A 16,595-nucleotide genomic window follows, 5' to 3' on the forward strand; every position below is an offset into this window, starting at 1 on the left:
TCAGCCAAGTCTAGGTGCTATCTACGGCAGTGTTGTTTAAACTGTAAGTAGCAACCCCGTTGTGAGTCAGGAAATGAATTTAGAGAGTCTGAAGAGCATTAAATCAGGGGGCCGGGAGCAGACACTAAAGGGTATCACACAGTTATGTATTATTTCATGAAATGTTTTAAAGATTTTGTATTTAGGCATGCACATATATACACACACAAACACACATGTTCTGGGTCGTGATGTAAAAAGTTATTTTTATTATGACTTGCAGTCAAAAAAGTTTGAAATACATTGGTCAATAGAGACCACCAAAAATAATAAACATGGAGTTTCCACGAAAAATAATAAACATGGAGATTCCTGGTGTTAACGTCAATAAGGATGAGTACTGAATGTAAACCAGTCTTCTGCTCTGGAATCCAAGGTAAGCTACAGAGTTCTCAGTTTACCATCAACACTAAGGTTTTACTTGTTTTTCCTCTTACCCTACACTTTCAGGCAGGGGCATGGGCAACAGAAGGAAGGAGGAAAACCCCTAGTGGCAATGATTTACTTGGAGTGGTATCATGTTCTTTTGAGAAAAGGCATTTTTTAAAAGAGTAATTCCCAGGTGGCTAATTAAAAGGCTTTCCTTCTCCCCTATAAAGTCATACTGGTAGCATAAAAGTGAACAGAAATTTGTCATTACAGTTTTGACATTATAAATGGTCTAAACCACGGCAGTCTGCGATTTTGTTTCTGGTTTTGCAAAATATGCAGCCACAGACACAGATAGAATGTGTGATCTTGTCCTAATCTACTTTATCCACCTGTAAAAGGAAGACGATTGGAATTATCCGAAGGAGACTGACTCTGTCCTCTCCATCTGTAAAGATGCTAAACAATCATTTTCTCCAAATCAACCACCTAAACACATGACAAGACAATGTTTAGCTTCTGGCTTTCAGAAACCCAATGGTAAGGGTCAGTTTAGTTCTGGCACAAAGACTGCTGTGTGCCACCCTAAACGTACCTCATCTTGGAAGTTTCTTGGGTAAGCCGGGGTTAGCACTGATTTGGCAGATGGCCATAAAAGAAAGTATCCAGGGCCAGACATTAAACACCTGGGTTCTGACTTTGGCACAGGCCTCAGAAAGCCTCTGAGATGACACAGCTTCCTATTTCTTCAGGTGTAAGAGGGAGGTTAAAATAAGTTATTTATAGGGCCCCTTCCTGAAATAACTAATTTGAATGCAGTTCTAAGATTTTTATCCAGCTTGCTCTGCAACTCTGTCTATTAATTCCTTTAATAACAGCTTGAACTCTTTTAGTAACTATTTCTGCCAGTTTCCTTTACAACCACCCCTCAAACATCCAAGGTTCCATTAAGCTCACTCAGCCCAGATACTTTAAAAACATAAAGTAAAATAAAGCTAATAAGGAACAAAATTTAAGGCTTTTTCTTTTTATTTCAGCCAAGGAATGATGCATGCTACAGATTAATCTTTACTTTTTCCCACTTGGTTTTTCAAAGAACACCACCACTTCAACCCCCAATGAACATGGCACTTGTTTGTTTCTTCCCCTTCTAATTTATTCCAGATTTTCAAGTGTTTTCTTCAGTAACGCTGCTTTCTCCTGCAGTTCAGGTCTGCTGTCTGGCTCCATAGTAGCTAAAGACTCAATTAGGAGCACTCTGCATTCAGATGTCAAACATTCCCACTGTTTAGATTCTGCATGAAAAAAAAAAAACAAAAACAAAAAAAACAAAAAACAAAGCAAAAAGAAAAAACCCCAAAGAATCCTTATAGAACAAGCAAGAAAAAAATTTAAAAATATCCTATCCCCCAAATAAATGCAAAGCAACCTCTTGATAACAGATCAGTATATAATTATCATTACATACTGTCAATATGTGTCTCAAAACCTAATTCTTGACAGTAGCGTAGAGGCACATCAGGGAGTTTCCTCTCCTTCCCCCAGTATCAGTGGGAGTAAGAGAAATAATTACACTGAAGCATAGTAGGAAGAAGGAATTATCAGGGCAAGGCACACTGCAGCAAAAAAGTCATTTCAACAACACCATCGCAAGACCATTTCATAAGATACGGTCAGTTAAAAAAAAAAAACTTCTAAGAAATGTCATAATTGCAAGGTCAGATAAATAGATGACACTCCCTTTTCTTCGAGGAAAGCATCTGAGAACTACATGCACATTGAAATTTTTAGAAAATAAGAAAGTATATCAAATCTTAAATCTTGTTTACAAGGTTCTGTCACTTCCTAGCAATGTGGCTTCAGGCAAGTTTAGCTTGCCTTCAGCCTTATTTTCCTCATCTGGACTATATTAGTACATATCTGGCAAACTGAGAATTCGGTAATACGACTAAGTGCCTAGCTCTTTTATCTCAACAAGGAAAAAAGGGATTAGGAGATGTTTAGCGTTACTCAGTCTAAAAGTTCTGTTTGATGGAGCCCTAAGAGAGGTGTTTTAATTGCTAAGCAAAGATAGAGAAGTAGAAAGAGCAAATACACAAGGTTGCAGGAAAAACGTTTCCATCTTCTACATTCTTAATCCGTGAAAACAATTTGAGAGAGAGAGAGAAAAAAGAAGAGGGTCCTCCTTCTGAAGTCAGTAACAGATACACCACTGGAGAAAATGCTAACAGTTCCCCCCCACCCCACCCACTGATAGACCATTAGAAGAAAAAGAGGTTAGGGGAGAAGAAATAGGATTAAGAAAATTGCTACTGTCAGATTTGATGACTCAGGTAGATAACTGTTAAAAATGTTTTTCCAACTCCACTTTTCAGTGTGTCGTTCTGCTTATTTACATGTACACATGCCACTGTCAACCAATTCCTGTAATTAACCAAGATTAAATCAGGATTCACGATGAAAACAAAAACTTTATTACTTTAAGACAACTATAGCTTAATAATATATTAAAAATATATAAAAGTGTATCAAATTTAAATATTTAGTAAAATTTAATAGTTTTGGCTTTGTCCATTCTTCTTGCATGTGCATACATACTGATTTGTATTTCAGAGTATATGCTTAAGAGTATAAGCAAAAACGAAACAAAAAATTTCTAAAACATATGCCACATGGCTTTATGGTCCCCCAGTCAGAACTAACAACAACTTACCTTCAAGTTTTTTAAGCAGCAATTCTATCACAGATAAAGCTTCTGTTCTCACAGATGAGTAGGTCTTATTTTCTAAAAAGAAATATCATACAGTTCATATGGCCTGCCTGAAAAACACAACCTCCAAGATTAAATTTGTGTTGCTGAAAGAAAGATGTCCAGAAATTACAACTCTAGGGAAGGGTATATCTGATTTTTTTTTTTTAAAGGAAGCTTCCCTTTGCTAAGTATCAAATACTTGAAATGTGTGCTAATGTCCACAGTCTTTACTTTGGAAAAACAAAAACCTGTCAGCCAAGTATACCAATCACCACAACAAATGGCAATATTTAAATGATCCATTTTAGAAGTGGGAGATGAAAAAACTATCTCAAACACAAAATCATCTTCGTATCACGGATAAGAACGATCCTTAGGTCTACATGACCCTCCTCATTTTACCAAAGAACATTATATGACCCAGTGTTTAAGCCGATCAGGGACACCTGGAACTCAGCAAAGAGAGGTCTGTTGGCTGCCTGTTCTTTATCCATAAAAGGATGCTGCTGCCAACAACTGCGAATGAAACATGCTTCCTTGGCATCCACTCTTTGACACGGCGTCTGGTTCATGGTGAAATTGTCTACCAAAAAAATCAACACACAACCAAGCCCAAAGCAGGGTAGGCATGAGATGGGCCTTATCATCTTGTTATGCTACAAAGTACAAAAGTGCTACAAAGAGTGACGGTGACCTGTCAAAAGGACACAGGAGGCAGCTTGAAAGGGCTTCCACTGGCCAAATCTGGGACAACTGGAATAACGAATTAGATTTAAAAAATTAAATTATAAACCATTTGAAGGGGGAAAGATTCCATGAATCAATGCCAGTAACAGATAAATAAAAACATGGGCAGAAGAGAAGAATCTTGCTTACAACAGAATTCCAACTATCAAATGGTGAATGTGGACAAAGTGCTAGAGTTGCAAAATCATCTTAGTAAAAATTGGTTCAGGGAAGAATCATCAATGCATGCTAAATATAGAGAAGAAATTTTAAAGAAGAGAAACAAATTACTTGAATGATCTTAAGATCTGTTCCCACAGGCTACTTATTAGACACAAAAAGAAAACATAGTAACTATCCAGTAGAGAAAAACTGATAGTACCTTGACCAGGTAATCAAAATTAACATCACAAATGATGACAGATGGACACTGTGTGCCTCTTAATGTGAGGACACATCACTTATGTATGTATCCCAACTGGGAATTCACAACCTGGATATAATCATGAGAAAACATCAAACACCAAATGAGAAACATTCTGTTTTTTCAAAAAGGGAAGTCGGGGGGACTTTATTCTTCAAAATTGTCAATGTCCTAAGACAAAGAAAGGCTGACGAAGTATTCCAGATTGAAGGAGACTAAAAATATATGACAATAAAATTCAATAAATAATCCTGGAGGCCAAGGCGGGCAGATCACTTGAGGTCAGGAGTTCAAGACCAGCCTAGCCAACATGGTGAAACCCCGTCTCTACTAAAAATACAAAAATTAGCCAGGCATGATGGCACACACCTGTAATTCCAGTTACTTGGGAAACTGAGGCAGGAGAATCACTTAAACCCAGAAGGCAGAGTTGCAGTGAGCCAAGATCACGCCACTGCACTCCAGCCTGGGTGACAGAGCAAGACCCTGTCTCAAAAATAATAATAACCATTATCATCATCATCATCATCATCATCATCATCATCATCACCTGGACTGGATTCCCTAATGGAGGGGAGGGGGAAAAAATCCTATAAAGAACATTACTGGCTGGGTGTGGTGGCTCATGCCTATAACTCCAGTACTTTGGGAGGCCAAGGCAGGTGGACTGCTTGAGCTCAGGAGTTTTGAGACCAGCCTGGCCAACTTCGTGAAGCCCTGTCTCTACAAAAATACAAAAATCAGCTGGGCGTGACAGTACACACTTGTAATCCCAGCTACTTGGGAGACTGAGGCAGGAGGACTGCTTGAACCTGGAAGGTAGAGGTTGCAATGAGCTGAGATCACACCACTGCACTCCAACCTGAGTGACAGAGCGAGACTCCAACTCAAAAAAAATAAAAATAAAAATAAAGAACATTACCGAATCAACTGAACAAACTAGAATATGAACGATAAACATTTGATTTAAAAAACTGCATCCATGTTTACTACCTAAAGTTGACAACTGTACCGTGGCACACTAAATAATTGAGGAACAAGGGGGCCTGAAGTAAGCAACATACTTTCAAATGGTTCAGGAGAAAAACATGTATATAGAAGTCCAAATGACAAAGCAAATGGCACAAAATGTTAACAAATGATTCTGCATAAAGTGTATACATATTGCAGAGTATTACATGTACTGTCGTTGCAACCATTCTGTAAGTTTGAAATTACTTTCAAGTAACAATTTTGTAAAAATACTTGTCACGAAGGTTTTTCTAAACTAGATGCTAAAATCCTGTTATAGTTCCAGATTTAAATATTCCAGTTAAGGGGTACACATGGAGTATAATAAGTAGCAGAGTCCAGTAGCTATTTCAGAAATTTAGTTCCTAAGACAAAGTAGGAAATATTTGAAGCTCAGCTCCTTAGCTTTAAAATTAGGACTCCCTCATCAGTTTTAGTTTACTACACTCACCTAAAGAATATGTGATTGATTTACAAGTTTCAAGCAGAATTTCAGCCAAAGCCTCAGGATCGGCATGTTCTTCTTCCAAAAGCATTAACCTATACAAATCAGAAAGCAAGGTACAAATGCCAATTATTAAGAAACAGTCTAAAACTTTCCTGTCACAATTTCTATCTGTATGTATCACTGTCACTTTAGCTACCAGTTTTTAAATGTATAAAAATTCCATTGATTATACATAAAATGCTGCGGGGAGGAACAAAATAAAAAACTGAGCCATGAAGCAATTTACCCCTGAAAAAAGGCATTCATTGATTGCAGGACTCCTAGCTGCACTTTCCACGTGCTGAGTTTTAGCCGTTCACACATCAGTTTGCACAGCTCCTGACGATAACAACCTGGGAAAAAAAGACAAGGTGGGACAGAGCAGGAGACAGTATAAAAGAACAAGAGATGGAATAAATGAGGGACAGGCAGAGAGAGCAAGAGAAAGGAAGAGGGAAAGAGAAAGAGAGAAGGTGGGGAGGATAAGAGAGAGAAAAGCAGGAAAAAGAGAAATAAAACAATAAATACTTTTAATTAAAGCCATTGAAATTTCCCCAAAAACTTCAGCATGACTTTGTACTCAATCCCCAAACAAATTTCCTTGATCAGAAACTGCCCCCACAAAGGTGCAATATAATTGTTCACAAATATTCACTTTCAAGGCATATGGTTCTCCATGGAACTGAGAAAGCACTTTAACCACACTCCCTTTGCCCCTCAAAACTCCCTGAATGACAGCCACAGAAAGAACTCTGGAGGCCAGAAGCTCCTCTCTAGATGCTCACAAGCTTCTGCAAATTGCAGGTTTACCAAGAGTCAACAGTGCTTTATTATAAACCTGTTATGCCAACTGCAACTGTAATTATAACTATATAATTAATATTATGCCAACTGATGAATCAGCAGAAAACTCAACAACGAAGTTATTTTTAATTACTGTAGGATTTAGTAGGGCTCAAACAAATGTAAAAATGGGGGGAGGCAATAAAAAATCTAGAATTCTGCACTAGGATTGTCTCATAAGAGCTTGAAATTTCTTTCTCTGTTTTAAAGAAACAAAACCCAGAAATTGTAGATATATATGAGAAGCCAATGTGTAACAGTTAAGTTCCTAAAGAAAAGGCCTTGGTTCTCAATAAATGCACATTTCTATTAACAACCTTCTATGTCTTATATTAAAATAAACTGCTTTATGTTTGTATCATCTTTCTCATATAATTCCCTACTTTAGCTTTCTCTACCTATCAAGGAAAAGTTAATACTCTTTATGGCATCATATTAGTGGACTTCCATGGCAGTCTATAACATAATATTAAGAAATAAAACCACCTGCAAATTTGTATCTTCTGGGAAACCCTTCCTATAAACATAGCAAATATATAAGTTCACACAAAGGATGACAGGGCTCAAAGAGAACCTTAACTGATTCTAGACATATCCAATCACAAATAATCAACAGTACTTTTTATAACATTCAATAATATTGTCGCTGGGCATGGAGGCTCATACCTATAATCCCAGCACTTTGAGAGGGAGGCCAAAGTGGGAGGATCACTTGAGCCCAGGAGTTTGAGACCAACCTGGGCAACATAGCAAGACCTCACCTCTTCAAAAAAAATTTGCTGGGTGTCGTGGCATGCACTTGTAGACCCAAATACTTGGGAGGCTGAGGCAGGAAGATCACTTGAGCCCAGGAGGTAAAGGCTGCAAGAACTGCACCACTGCACTCCAGCCTGGGCAACAAAGCAAGACCCTGTCTCAAAAAAAAAACAAACAAAAAAAAAACGAATACTAAGATCTTCAGCAGGATGCACTGTAGGACCCAACACAAGGCAAGCTTAAAGGGTAGCATCATCACTTCTTGGCCTTTTGGCTAAGATCAAGTGTAAAGGGTAGTATCATCCCAAGGTTAAGGCCCTGTCAGGGGACTCCAAACTAACTGCAACCTCATCCAATAATAGAGGTTTACTGTTCATTTAATCTTTGGGAAATACATGTCCAGTTCTGAAAATTGTCCAAATAGTAATGAGTTTTTCACTGAAACAGGGATTTCAGTTGCTTACTGAACACTTGGTAACAAGACCATTCATTTCAGGATAAAGAGACCCTGCTAATAAACTTTGTGCATTCCTCTGAATAGAGCTATGATCATCAAGAAGATCAGTAGAACTCGTCTATCAAACTATCTGCATAAAATGTATCATGGTTATTATAGGTGGAACTGTGCCCCCAAAATTCGTATGTTAAAATACTATCCCCCAGTACCTCAGAATTTGACTGTATTATTATTAAATAGAAGACAGAGCCTTTAAAGAGGTCATATGAGTGGGCCCTAATCCAGCGTGCCTGGTGTCCTTATAGGAAGAGGTGATTAGGGCACAGAGACACCAAAGACCACGTGAAGACACAGGGAGAAGACAGCCATTCCCAAGCCAAGGAGAGAGGTCTCAGGAGAAACTAACCCTGCTGACGCCTTGATCTCGAAATCTCAGACTTCTATCCTCCAGAATTGTGAGAAAATAAATTTCTGCTAAGCCACCCAGTCTGTGATACTTTCTTACAGCAGCCCTAGCTACAGCGGTACAATGATCAGTGAGATCACAGACTCATGTAGACAAAAAACTTTCACTGGATAATTCTCATTATTAATCAATCAGGCTCGATAAGAAACAATAACTATAATTTGTCATAGAGAAAATTCTTCGCTCTCATTAAGTAACCTCTGGTTACAGCACTTCAAATGCAGTTTCTGGTGCTTACGTTGGGTCTCCGCGTTTCGCGGCCAGGCTTTGCCCAGGCTTTCAAAGGCACCCAGCAGATATTCCAGCTGGAGCTCCTTTTCCTTTTCATTCTCCTCTTCATTTTTGGTTGTCCGGACCCCACTGCTTTCAAGTGAGTTCTAGGATATATCAAAGAAAAGAAAATGTAATATTTTCTTCTTCAAAGTTACAGGTATACTATTAAAGCTATCAGGGTACCAACCAAGGCAGGAGATATTAACCAAGAGTTAAATGATAAATTCTCTACCATAAGTTTCCCTATTTACAACAAGAATTTATAACCAGAATACTGTATCTCTAATAAATTTAGGCAATACTTTACAGGCATCTGTAAACAAAAGCTAAAAAATACTGCATATGTAGTCTTTTGAGCATAACATGAAAAGACTTGCATTAGAATCAGATTTTAAAGATGGAAGAAACTCAGTAATGATCTAAATCCAAACTCTTTCTTGATAGAGAAACAGAGGCTAAGAGAAGCAACTGGTCCAGCTTGCTAGTGATGTAATCAACTTAAAACACAAGTCTCCCAAATCCATATGCTATCACTATGTTTGTAATGGAAATTATTTAAATAGCCTTATTACTGAAAGAAAACAACTGCAATTTAGGAGCAATAAGAAATAAGAATGTTACTTAAAATATTTCATGTTTCACAAATAAACAGGGAAACCACACCCTTTTTTTTGGGGGGGGGACCAGTGCCCAACTTTTAAAAATGAGTATTCCATTTTCCACATGAAACTTGAGTCTTTTTTTGACCCAAATCCTCCACTATATGGCAGAGGCAATTCACATGGCACACTGAGCTTCTTGCCTTTACTCTAGGATGGCTGGGGTGGCTTAGCTTATTAGCCAAGGCAAAGCTTATTATGACATAAACTGTTCATTCACTACCAAATCCACTCTCCCCTTCTCCCATGGAGGGCAAATGGACACCCAGAATGAAGACTCAGTCTGCTGCCAGGTGTGGCTAAGTACTGACCAACAGGATGGCTATAAGTCAAAGTGCCATCTAGCGGTGCCCAGGAACTCTCCTCAAGAGAGACATGGCATGCCCACTGTATCCTTCATCCTTGCTTCATCTCCTCTGCATTCCTGCCTAGAACACAAACACACTGTGGACCATGAGGATGATGACCACACCCTAGAAATGGCAGAGTTCAGAGCTGTAAAGAGACGGAATACCTGAACACTTTGTGATGCTCCCAACGCTTTGTGAGAAACATAGCATTGACTATCTTGTTTAAGGCCGTATTTTGGAATTTCTCTGCTACTTGCAGCTAAACTAATCCTAATAATCAGGACATAGGGGAAAACAATTTTTTAACTTTTTCTTTTTAAAGTATAAACCAGAACTGAGGATACAGGTGGTATTACCTTCTTGATGAGAGGTATGACAATGTTAGAGAACTCCTGGAATCTGTCCTCTTTGGTGGCCTTCAAGATATCAGCTGCACAGCTGATTGCTACAATCTTGTATTTGACATTCTCTTTGCTACATTCCTTCAGAACAGCTTGAAGAATTTCATTTGTGCTGGGTTGATTGGGCACAGACTTTTCCAGCTCTGCACTACAGGGTCCATACAAAAGCATCAGAAGTTAATAAAGGCTGCAGTTTTCGGGTCCAGTTTAAGAAATGGCATCTTCATTGAAAGAACATTTACCTGCAAGCTGTCACCACACAGGCAATGGCTTTCAATAGCTCCTCCTAAGGGGTTGAAAGATGAGGAAATACTATTAAGCCCAAACATGTCATTTACACTGTCTAAACCATGATTACAATTACCTTAGGAATTTTTGATAACTATGACAACAAAAATTAACAACAGTCACCTTATCTTTAATGCATAATTTTAAGCACATCCACCAAGTTTTACTCCAAACCATGGATGTAGGATAATTATCTTCACCTCCATTTCATAGAAGCCTAAAGAACTGATTCGACCCAGGTCTCACAGAAAACAGTGTCAACCACAGAATTGGAATGATGTCTGACTCCCAGTCCGGTACTACTTCATTCCTGCATGGGCCACTATTGACCTTTACAACATAAAGATCATTAGGTTACCACAATCTCATGTTCCCCACTGAGTGTTCACTGTTAAGAATCCTACTAAAGCTCTTGTGTAAAAAAATAACTGTTACTAATTCATAGGTCCCAGAGATGGGCATCTTCAGCCCCAGGTTTAGAGGCAGGCTACCTTGCTACTCTATTTCACATATGCCCAATCCTGATCTTTCTATGCCCAATCCTGATCTGTTCATGAGGTCAACAGGTACAAAATGCTGACAAGTTGGTTTAAGACGTAACTTGGAAGGCTGAATATGGAAAATGTATCTATCTCCAGCATTACTGTCCATTATGCAAGGCCACACGGGTTGCAGTTTGAGAGGAAATACCACAGTTAATCAGGCAAGGTTTACCCAAAGCTTCCACTGTCTAGGAAATCTAGTTCACAAAAATAATCCATTGGAAAAGTTACACAAAACCAGATCGTTACTATTATGCAAAATGAAAGATGAAGTCAGAATCCCTTTAACTGGGTATGAATGGTTCCTTTACCTTTCCTGCCCACGTTCTTCCAGCCAGGCCTTGCAGCAATGCGGTCAGTATCATTCCGAGATATGGAGGTACTAGAGAGCTAGTCTGTTTTGCAATTGATGCCATGGCAATTGCACCCTGGGCTTTCATTTTCCAGGACTGAGACTGCAAAGCCTTCTGGGTAATAGTAATTAACTCCTGCAGGTATAATCGAATGCCACCAAAGGATCCTAGGAAAGCAAAATTAAAACAACTTTTAAGTGACAAGAAAAATTAACTGATTTTTCTAAACCTGAAAAAAAGTCAGTGACCAACAGTCTAAAAGCAGTGACTCTCAACTGTTAAAACACACCACTCTCTCAAAGGGAGAGAAAGTGTGTTGGTGTTGTGACTTATTCTCACAATAGTAGAACTTTACGAACTTGGGTGCCCACAGGAACGTATCACACAAATGGGCATCATCAATTAATATGCGACAAGGTGAAAAACACATTTAGAAAACTACTCTAAAATACTCTAAGGCCACATAAAATCACACTCTTAATTAAAAATGTAAAGCTCTCCTTGCTCACAGGGTTTATATTCTCTCATGTGGGCAGTGATGAATGAGTAAAGACAAAAATCCTGAGTGCCAACCTTGAGAACTCAGCAATTTGGATGGGTTCAAAACTAAATGGGATGAGCAATTTGGATGGGTTTAAAACTAAATGGGATGCATATTAAGGTCCTGGGAAAGTAACTTCAGAGGAGTTTATGAATAACGAATGCAAGTAAAAAATTCTAGCTGTGATTCCTAAGAAGCAGGTTTAACTCAGGCCACACTACTAACCAGGTACGTTTTCCTGCCACACTTCGGTCCATAAATTACATTCTTCTTTTTCGGATTTCTCCTCATCAGCAATTTCATGCATGCCTAAAAATGCCAGAGGCAGGACTTCTTTTGCATGATTCTTTAATACATCAGGGCTGTATCGTCCAATAGCATGAATAGTCAAAGCACAAGAGGTCTTGTAGATAGGTTCTGAAAAGGAGAAACCAAAATCTTTACGATATTTATTGTTTTTAAGGGTAACTGATCTAAACAGGCTATTGTTCAACTCATATAATAGCAAAACAAACAGGTAAAATCAATTAGAAATGTTTCTAGCAGGCTGGGTTGTGGTGGCTTACACCTGTAATCCCAGCACTTTGAGAGGCCAAGGTGAGCAGATAGCTTGAGCTCGGGAGTTTAAGACCAGCCTGGGCAACATGGCGAAACCCCACCTATACAAAAAATACAAAAATTAACCAGGCGTGGTGGCACGTGCCTGTAGTTCCAGCTACTCAGGAGGCTGAGACACAAGAATCGCTTGAGCCCAGGAGGCTGAGGTTGCAGTGAGCTGAGATAGCACCACTGCACTCCAACCTCAGCGACAAAGCCAGACACCATCTCAAAAAAAAAGAAAAGAAAAGAAACAAATGTTTCTAGCAAATCACATAAAATCATGGAGGGTAAGACCTAATTTGTACTGTTTTACTGGGCTGTTAACATCTAAATTTAAAATGACATAAAATAGAAAAAGAAAGGTACCTTCTTTCTCCATATACCACCCATTGAGCTTCTGCAGGAGTTTTTCAGTGCTGCTATCCCGTGAGGTCTGAAAAAGAAACAATCCTAAGTATTTCTTTATAACTGTCAAAGAGTTTTATTTAACTAAGCAAGAAATTTAACTCACCCGAACTAAATGGCCCATAGCAAATGCACAAGATTTCTGAATCACACTGTTCCGATCTGTCAGGCCACTCAGCAAAGCACTCATAAGTTTACCTACCAGAAATAAAGAGAAAAAAATCTGATACTTGGTTGACCAAATGTTCCACTCTGTTCCCAGAACCCAAACAAACCTAACCCTGTAATTAACATCTGATTTACTCCACAGTAGTTTAGATTTCTGGATGTTATATTTATATATCCATTTGCTTCCTTTTACATGATATAAAGTTAAAATTAAACTAGAATATCGTGGAAAAAGATGCAAAATAAGAACGAGGTATATAAAGAACACTAGTCCAGTCTAGAAGCCAATCTAAGAAGAGAAAAATGCTGATGTAAAATCAGCTATCAATGGTAAGTCCTGTGGAAAAGAGGATACTTTTACCTCCTTATACCACTAAGGAATAATCAAATGTTTATGAACAGTGAAAAGCTGCTAAACTTGATAAACTCTGCACCTCCTGCAGACAAAGAAATGAAGGAGTCAGGGGACTGAGGGGAGAAAAGGCACACAGCATCACAAGCAGGTCTGAATGATAAGTATTTTTCCTTTTTAAAACTCTGTCACACAAGACAGGGCTGTGCAAAAATATCACCACACATCCCTTGACAAACTCACCTGAGTAAGGTGTTAGGTCCTGAGGACACTGAGTAGTTAATGACACAATGACACTGGCACAGCCACCCTACAGGGTTACAAAAGCAAAGGTCTAAATCTGATGGTCACAATGTTCTACCTACCAAACCATTGGCTTAGGTGCCAAAAATTTAAACATATAAAATACATGAAGCCTAATACCCCCTCCAGGACTCAATATAGAAAAAGGCAAACTCTTAAACTAGTAATGCAGCGATTTTTTTTAAACCTCCAAGAGAAAGATGGGTGATCTCAGACATTGTGAAAAAGAAAGAAAACTGGTACAATCTTCTGGAAAAGCAAAATATGTCATCTTGTCCATCACTGTGCTAACATTTCCATTTCCAGAAATTTAACCAAATATCTTCAGGTGTGCCTGAAGACACTCATCACAGTGCTTTACTATTTTTTTCAAAAACTGAAAACAAATCAGATGTTCCTTGATGGAGTAAAATAAATGATGTTACATCCATACAGTGGAGTATCATACGGCCATTAGAAGAGGACACTGCAGAAGATACATGTGCAGAAAAGACTGGAAGGAAACACTTCAAAATATTAACAGCAGTTATCTCTGTATGGCAAAATTCTGGACAATTTTTATTTTAACTTTCTCCTAATCTATAAATGCTAAAATTTTAAAATACCAGCAAGTGTTAATTTTGTCATAAGAAAAAATGTGAGTTATTAATTTGTTGTTAAAAGGGTGGTAGGGGGGTGTCTGATCCTTCAAAGATCTTGAAAACTAGGACATTTTTCTATTCAAACACTGCTGACCCCTCTGTGAAAAATGCAATTGCCACCTAAAACAATCCATGCCCTAATAACTGGATGTGCATTTCCATGAACTGCTAATGAATGACAACCCAGAGGGTATGTACACGGCAACCAGAGAACAGAAATGATTCCACTAAATAAGTTAATACTTACTGGAACAGTTAGATGTTTTATTTCTTGAACCAGTTACATGTTTTCAGTTATCAGTGCAACCACAGAAATAAAATGGTTAGTGTATAATATTAGATTTTGTGGTAAAACATGAATTTCAAACATGATGGCTGTTATATCCTTATGGCCAGAACTAATGAAGATGCACATTTCCTCTTGTGGAAAGTACACTTACCTTAGTTCCAAGACCTACACCACTTCTGATCAGTTCACACAACCTAGGAACTAGCTCGCCCAGCACTGACACATCAAGGTATTGCAGGCACTTTTGAAAAAGGACAAATATAAAGGTAAGCCTTGGCAAATAAGTCAGGACCACATCTTCAATTAAAAACTGCCCTTGTCAAACGTGTACCAACTGGATTTGACATGAAGTTGAAAAATCACTGCTTGCTTCTGCTCTGATTTCAATATTAAAACCACTATTGTACTACAAACAGAAAAATTATTCATCAGTGATTCAACACTAAAAACAAACAAAAAAATGAAAAACATCAATTTGCTAAAAAAGAAAAATAATGATTACTCAAGAATGAAGAATCTTTCTGGGCCTACTTCCTCTTTATCAATCCATGTTTAGTATAAAAAACCTAAACTAAATATTGATCTTCTACAGTGGGCCTACCCTACCAAACCCCCTCTAATGAGTCAACTTCTTAGATGACTTTTCCTATAAATTGCTGGCCTTTATTTTTGAAAATGCAATTAACATGTTTTCTATTACTAATGAATATAACTAAATGGTATTCACTAACTATTCCTATTTCTTTAAATTTTTATTTCCCCCCAATAATCCAACTAAGACATAACATTCTTAGACCAAATTTTGGTAATACTCCCCCAGCAGGCACTAAAAAATAGCTACTTCTCTTCACCAGTTTAACATAGTTTTTTGTACACTTCAGTTTTTTTAGGGGTTGGATCTATACCTTCAGAGTCCTGCTAAAGGTACAGATCTGCTTAGCAAACTAATTTCCAGTAAACACAATCATAGCTAACTAACCATTACAGGGAATGCACAACAGAGTAACTTTACCAAGACTCCAGGAAGTTTAGAAATCAGAACCTCAGAATGCCAAGCAGCCCTTTACTGCAAATGCCTTCCTATGACTAAAACAACATATCGACATTGCCCAATCTCTTCACATACCTTTATGTTACCTACTTCATTAAATACCTCCACAGCTTATAACTTTCCTAGTTCCTCCCAAAGATAACTATTAGGCACAGGCACAACTCTGAACCTTTCTAAATAGGCAGATCAAAAGACTACAGATGTAAATTTATAGAGAGCTCTTGATATGTTGTTGTCTCTTGTAATACAAATTTGGACCAACTGTTTCTGGTATTTGGGGAATTATTTATTCCACTTAGTAACAGAGAAGAAAAGAGAAATATACTAAGAAAAAACTGGAGTCACAACAGCTGCTTGACTCATCCCATAAGTCTCTGCTTCATTTAACATAGCCTGAAGACTTTGAAGAATTACACTTTCAGGTAAGCAAACAAACCCTCTCATTATTATTTAAGACACTCACCATGTTGATTGTTTCCATCATTGGAGAAGATTTGGCAGCACTAAGCCGAGCACTATCCATCGCAGCCTAAAGAAGAGAAATTAAAGTCACCCGGCACATTCAATTAATTAGGAATAATCCGCACAAACACCCATAAAAGACTTTCACTTCCAAGCTAAAGAACTTTAAAAAAAAATAATCCGTAGCTATAACAAAGGCAAACATCAAGTCTAACTCTAATTTCTTTTGACCTACACTCAACAATTTACCAGGGGAACCAGCACCACACTACAGGTGAGAAATTCAGATAACAGTTAAGAAATCAGCATAGTATGGCTCTGGGCAAGTCATCCAGCCTTCTTGAGCCTGAGGTTCTCCATCCACTAAATAAAGGAACTGACTAAACAAATTTCTAAGGTTTTTAAAATTGTGTCTAAGCAGTAGAAAATTTTATACGTGCAGTTCTTTAACTTTGTAATTACCCTTCGTATCTATGAAGGTATTTTAATCTAACAACTGTGCTGAAGGAGAGGTTAACACTATCCAGATATGATAAGGGAGAAAAGTAAGGCATACACAAGTGACTTGCCTAGGGCTACAAAGTTTA

General features: G+C 38.1%; 1 protein-coding gene across 11 annotated transcripts in view; it reads right to left on the reverse strand.

Annotated features, from left to right (window-relative positions):
* Nucleotides 1–218: 218 nt before the first annotated feature.
* The window catches only part of ECPAS (Ecm29 proteasome adaptor and scaffold), a 123,699-nt gene continuing 107,322 nt past the window's right edge, over nt 219–16,595 (reverse strand). For 8 of the 11 annotated variants that reach the window (NM_001363756.2, NM_001364929.1, XM_047423107.1 and 5 more), the window contains 14 exons: nt 16,010–16,075; nt 14,647–14,736; nt 13,506–13,572; nt 12,849–12,940; nt 12,704–12,770; nt 11,963–12,154; nt 11,155–11,363; nt 10,256–10,299; nt 9,969–10,161; nt 8,569–8,707; nt 6,056–6,161; nt 5,773–5,861; nt 3,122–3,193; nt 219–1,703 (listed from right to left, as the gene is read on the reverse strand). In NM_001363756.2, the coding sequence (NP_001350685.1) occupies nt 1,564–1,703; nt 3,122–3,193; nt 5,773–5,861; nt 6,056–6,161; nt 8,569–8,707; nt 9,969–10,161; nt 10,256–10,299; nt 11,155–11,363; nt 11,963–12,154; nt 12,704–12,770; nt 12,849–12,940; nt 13,506–13,572; nt 14,647–14,736; nt 16,010–16,075 (1,566 nt within the window). In that variant the 3' untranslated portion in view covers nt 219–1,563. Of the gene's footprint in view, nt 2,833–3,121; nt 3,194–5,772; nt 5,862–6,055; nt 6,162–8,568; nt 8,708–9,968; nt 10,162–10,255; nt 10,300–11,154; nt 11,364–11,962; nt 12,155–12,703; nt 12,771–12,848; nt 12,941–13,505; nt 13,573–14,646; nt 14,737–16,009; nt 16,076–16,595 lie in introns of all 11 variants that reach the window. The other 3 variants (XM_047423106.1, XM_047423108.1, XM_011518422.4) reach the window with 1 other exon arrangement.

The sequence above is a fragment of the Homo sapiens genome, chromosome 9, assembly GCF_000001405.40.
Source record: "Homo sapiens chromosome 9, GRCh38.p14 Primary Assembly".
Classification (NCBI taxonomy): Eukaryota; Metazoa; Chordata; class Mammalia; order Primates; family Hominidae; genus Homo; species Homo sapiens.